General features: G+C 38.3%; 1 long non-coding RNA gene across 1 annotated transcript in view; it reads right to left on the reverse strand.

Annotated features, from left to right (window-relative positions):
• Positions 1-7654, reverse strand: part of LOC105369927 (uncharacterized) — a 35878-nt gene extending 28224 nt beyond the window's left edge. The window contains exon 1 of the long non-coding RNA XR_945249.3: positions 6089-7654. This is a non-coding gene — a long non-coding RNA (uncharacterized LOC105369927). The remainder of the gene's footprint in view (positions 1-6088) is intronic.
• Between the last annotated feature and the right edge of the window lie 25 nt (positions 7655-7679).

Genomic DNA, 7679 nt, shown 5'->3' on the forward strand with positions numbered 1-7679 from the left:
CTAGTGTTCTTTCTTGCTGATCTGTACTCCATCTCCCATTTGGTCTGGAAATCCCCTCCTTTTTAATAGCCATGTTCTTCTTTCTCCCAATTATCCATTGAATTAGACCACCAGTTCAAGGCACAAACCTGCTTATTCTTGTCAACTTCAAGTTCTGAACAAAACTGTAAGAGCCTCTTCCGTTATTGCCCATCATTTTTTTTTTTCTCTCAAGCCTCAGTTCCCCTGTGGCTTTGCCTTACTAACACAGTTCTTATGTGGCCAAGCCTCTTTCATCTGCTTAAGAGTCCTTCTTACCATCTTTTGAATATTTCCACTTTAAAACTCAAGCTTCTCAAAGAATTACCCTCTTTAGGTGCTGCTTTTCTTCATGAAGGGATTTATTTGCAATTGTATGTAAGAATTACTTTTTTTTGACAACCTCCCATTTTTAAAAAGTAATCTCTTTTTTAGCACTTTATAGTCTCAGCATCACCAGCCAAAAAGTTTTGCATACATACCATGTGTCAATCACTGTGTTCAGTGCAGAAGTCTAAGAAAGTAGTTCCTCAATCTTAAGGGAGATCTTATGATATAATATGCATGACAGCATGCATGTGAAGTGTCAGATATATAGTTACTCTTTAAGTGGTATAGAATGGGTTGGGGGAATAGCTGTGGGTCAGAGCAATAGAAGACTTCACCAGAATAAAAGGTATTTGAAGGATAATGATAGGATGTATACAATATTGTAAATCTACTTAATTCTTTCTACAACCCAACGAGTTAAGCTCTTAGAGCATTCTCATGTTTTAGATAAGATAATTGAGGCACAGAGAGGCTAAGCAAATTGTCAAAGGACACACAGCTTGTAAGTGGCTAAACTGGGACTTGAACTTTGTGAATATGACTGTAGGTTCCAATTCTTAAACTGCTCAGTTCACCTGGAAAGCTTCTAAGTAAAGAGAGAGAAAGAAAGAAGGCAGATCAGTTGAGGAAATTTCAGGACTTGCTGGGGGCAAAATTGAGAAGAGTTTTGCTGAAGAATCTTTTTTTTTTTTTTGAAATTGCTTTCAATTTTAAAATTTTCTATCTGTCTATCTCTCTCTCTCTCTCTCTCTCTCTCTCTCTCTCTCTATATATATATATATATATATATATATATATATATATTTTTTTTTAAATATAGAGTCAAGGTCTTGCTATGTTGACCAGGTTGGTCTTGAACTCCTGGTCTCAAGTGTTCCTCCCACCTTGGCCTCACTAAAGTGCTGGGATTACAGGCATGAGCCACTGCACCCATCTGGATCTTGACTTTTATTTAGAAGAAAAGGATGAATGTTATGACAGCACAATACCTTAATAATAGAACTGAAAGCCAACTGAACCACAATGTGCTCAGAGGAAATATTACCAGCTTTCACTGAAGCCTAGTTTCAATAGCACGAACAGTGTAAAAAGAAGAGAGAATCATTCTGTGAATTAAAAAAAAACATTGGAGTGGCAAATGACAGCAAGCAGTGTCAATAGATGCTCCTTACAACTAATCAAATACATTCAATGTGAAAAATCTTTAGAGTACATTTTGACATCCTGGACCGTTCCCACACTCAGAGATAGCTGTATTTTTAACAATATTGTCATTGAAAAGGAAGAAGAATGATACACATAACAGGTAAAAATAAAGCCATGTGAAAGGTGTGGAACTTCTCAGAAAAAAAAATGAACTTAGAGAAAATTAAAAGAAATACACATTTGTTCCAGCATTCAATTATTAAATACCTTGAATGCAAAAACAGATGACTTTGAATACCAGTAGGCTATCTTGCCAGCTGGTGGGACCTACCCCTAGTGGGTTGCTCTATGGAGATACTACTCCTCTTGTGATCTGCCACGATTTTTTTATGGAGCATTAAGTCACTTTCTAAAGATTTCTAAATATGAGGATGCTGAGTGGTGTGATTATTAACAACCAAATCTTCCTGTTCACAAGTGTAAGGGTTGCAGTCCTGGGAATCTGGCTAACTTCCAATTGGGTAATTACATATGGAAAACCTTGTTGAATCCCCCTTGGAGTTCTAGTTATGAAAGCCATTTATAGGGTGATTTGTAATTGCACCTGTGGCTGGAAAAATAGTGTAATGCACCAAAAATAAAATAAGCAATAGTCTTCCCTATAAGGATAGAAAGCAAACCACCATGCCTGCTATAGAAAGCTAATGGCTACCTTCTAACCTATAGACTTAAAACAAGGAAAAAAAAGTGAAAATGATTACCAACAGGACCAACATATAATGTAGATGAATCCTTTTATTCTCTTAGTTGTGCAGAATGTAGTTAACTACCAAGTTACAGCAATAGCATCACAGAGCGCTTTGGGGATGACAAAGTGTTTGTTTTTGCCTCATCTTTCCTGAAGATGCTGTTTCTTAGGAGACAAATGAGCTTGAAGCCCTCTTAATTATTTTTTAATAAAATAAAGCAAAAGGCATTTTCTTTTTATAAATTATATTATCATAAGCTTTGCATCTAGTAGATAAGAATGCAAATAACTTTTTTCTTATTAAAAGACGTGATAATCTGCATTTGCATGTTGTGAATCACTGAAAGGCAAAAAAATAATAAATTCAGGTTCCCAGGCACAATATATGACCTACTTAATCAGTGGTTGGAGGTAGGATTTGGCACTTCGTATTTTTCAAATCCCCTTCTGGTAGCTGTGATGTGCAGCTAGGTTCGAGAACATCTGATAAACTCCATTCAGCTTTTATAGAAGTGCTTTCCTAATGAGCTAGATGTTTTTAATTTTTAAAACAATCCTTAGTGGTGACCAGGATAACTTCCCACTCTAAGGAGAACCAGGAGCTCTGGGGATTAGTAGTGGATGCTGGGGGCAAGGACATCTGAAACCATAATCTCTTTTGACGTGGCCTCAAAGTTGGCGATGAAGGTAGACATTTTTTAAAAAATCTGACTAGTGTCTCATTATTATTAGACAAAGATCACCAACCACTGAGGAATTCTTGTTTAAATGCGTTTCACAGTAGCTCCTTGAAAATATGCCAGTCATCTTCAAAAATAATTTCTTTTTAAAAAGAGTAAGTAGGGAATTGCAACATTTTCTGTTAAAGTCTCAAAGGGAAACCAAATAAAAGTTCCTCTATTTCTCTTTCAGAGTGCATTTTTTTTTGTTCTGATATTGATGGGGTATTCATAGAACTGATAAAAGCCACCTAACTTAAATTGACTTTGTTTACGAAAAAAGTTTATTTTTTGTGATGTGGAGAAACTCCAGTGTCTTAGGTTGAACCATGGCCGTCTCAATTCATCAGACCACCTATAACTCAAAAGAGTTGTATTTCTCACACTTCACCAGTTTATTGGCAATGGAAAAGAAAAGTTTATTCATCTTGTTGGATTAGATGATCTCTAAGGTCCTTTCCATCTCTGAAATTCTATTATTATTTTCCATCCCAACAATAGACAAAGTATAGAAATTCATCACATCACTCTGGTGTAATAGAAACTAGTAGGATCCATAAATATTTTAACCCTAAAGTGTTGGTCTTCTTTTGTATTTCACTGGTGAAGCACCTCATACAATTTTTTTTGATCGTTCAAAAGTAGAAATTCATCAGTATTAGTGGTTACAATCAACATAAAGGTGCTGACTGGTTGCCTTAGTCCCTGTTCTGCTGCTTATAACAAATTATCTGAAACTGGGTAATTTATAAAGAAAAATAATTTATTTCTTATAGATATGGAAGGTGAGAAGTCCAAGGTCAAGGGGCCATATCTGGGGACGGACTTCTTGCTGGTGGGGACTCTGTGGAGGCAGCACAAGGCATCATGTGGTGAGAGGCTTGAGTATCCTAAGTCAGGTCTCTCTTCCTCTTCTAGAGCCACAAGTCCCACTCCCAAGTATTACCCACTAATCCATTAAACCATGATTGAATTAATCTATTTATGAGGGCAGAGCCCTCAGGACCCAATTACCTCCAAAGGCCCTACATCTCAATACTGCCACAGTGCGGACTAAATTTCAACATGAGTTTTGAAGGGGACAAATATTCAAACCACAGCAATGGTGATTGTAAATAGTACACTCATTACTGTTCTCTTGGATCTTATTCCTAGCTGATGATGAATAATCTTTAAGATATATAAGATCCTCTAGGATATTAAATTACATGAAACCTATGGAATATTAAATAGTTATGGCTCTGTCTTTGGTGCTCCTATAGTTTTTATACATCTGTTAACATTTATCTCACTATTTTATAATGCTTTCATTATATGTCTATCTCATCTCTTCTTTGAGGGCAAGAACAATTTACATTCCCAGGACCTAGTACAGTGCCTAGCATATTTTCAGTTGATATTTGATTGGATATCACTAGAATATTAAATGAGTTCAACTACTTTCAAATAACTGCTTAATTTTTTGAAATAAAGCTCCTAAGATGAAAAAATTCTTTTGCAAAATCTATGATGGAACTTAGAAGACAAGCCAGAAGAACCTCAGGTACCTAGAAAATGATAGATCAAGAGAAGAAGGCTGGCACATTTACTTATCAGGTTAGCTTTTTCTCACTTCTTTCCCAGTGGCAATTGGTAGATTAATTCAACAATTGTTATATTTTCCTTCAGTTTAGTGTCTTTTAGTGTTCAAGTCAAGTGACACTATATGTACCATCTATTTCATGGGGGAAATTCTCCTTAAGTCAGCATGACTATTTAGATATATAGTGGGTAGCCTTGGAAAAATATTTAACCAGTCTGAACCTCAGTACATTGTTTTGAAGTGAAAAAGTTAAAATATATCAATAATTTTATAATATTATTAATAGAGGAAGACTTTTTTTCTTTAAACACATACTTATGTTAACACTTTATGTAAAAATGATACATACAATGCTGTTTAGCTTGAAGGGGGAATGTATTAGTTAAGATATTAACACTAATACTGTAACAAAAAAACCTTGAATCATAGTAGTATAGAAATACAGTGTAGTTCTTACTCATATAGTCAGTCTATTGTCAAGAGTTAGGGTTGGAATTAGACCTCCCTCCAGATAATCATTCAGAGATCCTGGGAGACAGAGTCTCTGCCACCTTCAACATGGGACCTCCAAGACAGCTCTAACTTTTGACCCCAACTAGAAAATGGGGTGAGAGAGAGGATTACCTAAGTTAGGGTTTTATGACTTAGGTCCAGAAGTGAGTACATCAGTGCCATCATCCCTAACTGCAAGGGAGGCTGAGAAGTGGACTGTATACCCAGCACAAACAAGACATTGGGTTTAGTAGGAAGATAGCTGGGCCTTGCCACAAGGAATGGGGTCTGATGGGGTTTGGCACCCAGGGAGGCTTACCTAGGACTTGGAAGAGCACAGTTTGCAACCCCTGGAGAAGGTGATTCCCCCAAAGCCCCTTCATCTTAAATGTTCGGTAATTGTACCACTTACCATGCCTGACATACAGCAAGAGTTCATTAACTGCTTCAACTCCTTCATGTCGTTGAAAGAAAGTCTTTAATTCTTTTTTTTTTTTTTTTTTTTTTTTTGAGACGGAGTCTCGCTCTGTCGCCCAGGCTGGAGTGCAGTGGCGGGATCTCGGCTCACTGCAAGCTCCGCCTCCCGGGTTCACGCCATTCTCCTGACTCAGCCTCCCAAGTAGCTGGGACTACAGGCGCCCGCCACTACGCCCGGCTAATTTTTTGTATTTTTAGTAGAGACGGGGTTTCACCGTTTTAGCCGGGATGGTCTCGATCTCCTGACCTCGTGATCCGCCCGCCTCGGCCTCCCAAAGTGCTGGGATTACAGGCGTGAGCCACCGCGCCCGGCCGAAAGTCTTTAATTCTTACTGGATCATTTAACTTAGAGCAGCATTACATGAGCCATGTTTTGGCACCTCCCTTCTACTGCTGTGATCCTGCAACATGGTAACACTCCATGTAATTTCAATTGGGCTTCGAATTTGGTTGCATGCACAGAGTATGTGCCTGTGGAACTCTCTTAATTCTGACGTGAACTTGTGCAATGGGCCTAGCTATCTTACATTCAAATTAAGAAGGCCTCTTAAGATATAAATGTAGAATTTGACTCACCTATATCACATAAGGATTGAAATTTATGTGATTCCTGAGATACCAGTTGTTCTTGCCATGTTTGATCACCATTACAAACTATTGGCAAAATCTTCTCATCCTCCCAACGCCTGGCTGTTGTTCCCTAATGGATCAATTATTGCATCACCCCTCCCACCATCCCATCTCTTCACTGTATGTATCACCATCTGTGCTTTCCTTAAGCAGGCTAACCACAATCAGGGTTTTGATTATTCTTTGATAAACTGTTTACTCAATCCACACTGCCTATTTGTGCAGATCAATATTTCCCCATTTGGATGTCTCAGTGTCGTCTCAACTTCAAAGTGTCCATGACCGAAATTATATCCTTCCCCTTTCTCATAACTCTTCCTCTGGAATCTCAGTCTTGGAGGATGGCACCATCATGGACCAGTTCATCCCATTCAGAGGCCGGGGAGCCATGGTCTGTTCTTGCTCTTCTTTGTACTCATTTGAATCAAAATATTCACAAAGTTAGCATAATCTGTCTCTGAAAATTTTTTTGAAATTGTACCCCCTCCCCTTTATTTAAATCACCGTGGGAACCAAACTCCCATCTTCTATTTCCCTTGCCTCTTAACTGGCCTCTCAGCCTCCAGTCTCTCCCCTATCCACTCTGTCCTCTGCGGTGCATCCAATTACCTAACACCTGCTCCCTATGTAAACCCTTTTCATGGCCTGTGAGGCCCTTCATCACCTGGCTCCTGCTAACTGGCTTTATTTACTGTCCCTCTTCCACATGAACAGTTCACTGCAAACTGGGTAGCAGTAGTTTGCTACCTCTCATTCTCTTTACTGTGCTTCTGGTGCCTCTATGCCAGAGGTTCGAAACAATAGTAGATGACGAGTAAACAAGTGGATATGGCTGTGTTCCAATGAAACTTCGCTTACAAAAATAGTCAAGGGCTGGGTTTGAGCCAGGAGCTGTAGTTTGTTGACCCTTGCTCTGTGTCTTTGTATCTGTTGTTCCATCCGCCTGGAATACCCTTCTCCCCCCTCATTGCTCATCTCATTGTCTGCACCCCTACTCCCATTTCGAACTTCTAATTTTTCAAATGTTTGTTTAAGCATATTTTCCTCTTTGAACTGCTTTATTAAAATAATCTAATAATGCTTACTCCCAGATCACATTATACATACAGTCTTTTCTCTCTCTTTTTTTTTTTTTTTTTTTTTGTGGTAATCATAGTCTAGAGAGGCACAGGGAACACTACAGGGTTCCTAGGAGAAACATGGTGTTAGGTGCCTGTGAGCTTATGCTCACACACTTTTGCCAGCTGATCAATGTATAACCCTATTTTGTGTGTATTTCTGACTACAGACAGCTTATTTACTATATATTGTTTACTCATTAGCATTAAACTCACAATCAACAGCACTGTAATTCATGCCTGAAGGAAGCTTATCGAATGCACATATTTTCTTCATCAGATACATCACAGCCCTTCTGTGCTTAAGAACACCAGACAGCACTTCAGCACTATACTTGGGGCCCATTTTAAACATCGAAATCACCAACAAAAACACAAAAATGCAAAAAAAAAAAAAAAAGGCACTAAATAATCTGCAA

This window comes from Homo sapiens, chromosome 12, assembly GCF_000001405.40.
Source record: "Homo sapiens chromosome 12, GRCh38.p14 Primary Assembly".
In the NCBI taxonomy this organism is placed as follows: Eukaryota; Metazoa; Chordata; class Mammalia; order Primates; family Hominidae; genus Homo; species Homo sapiens.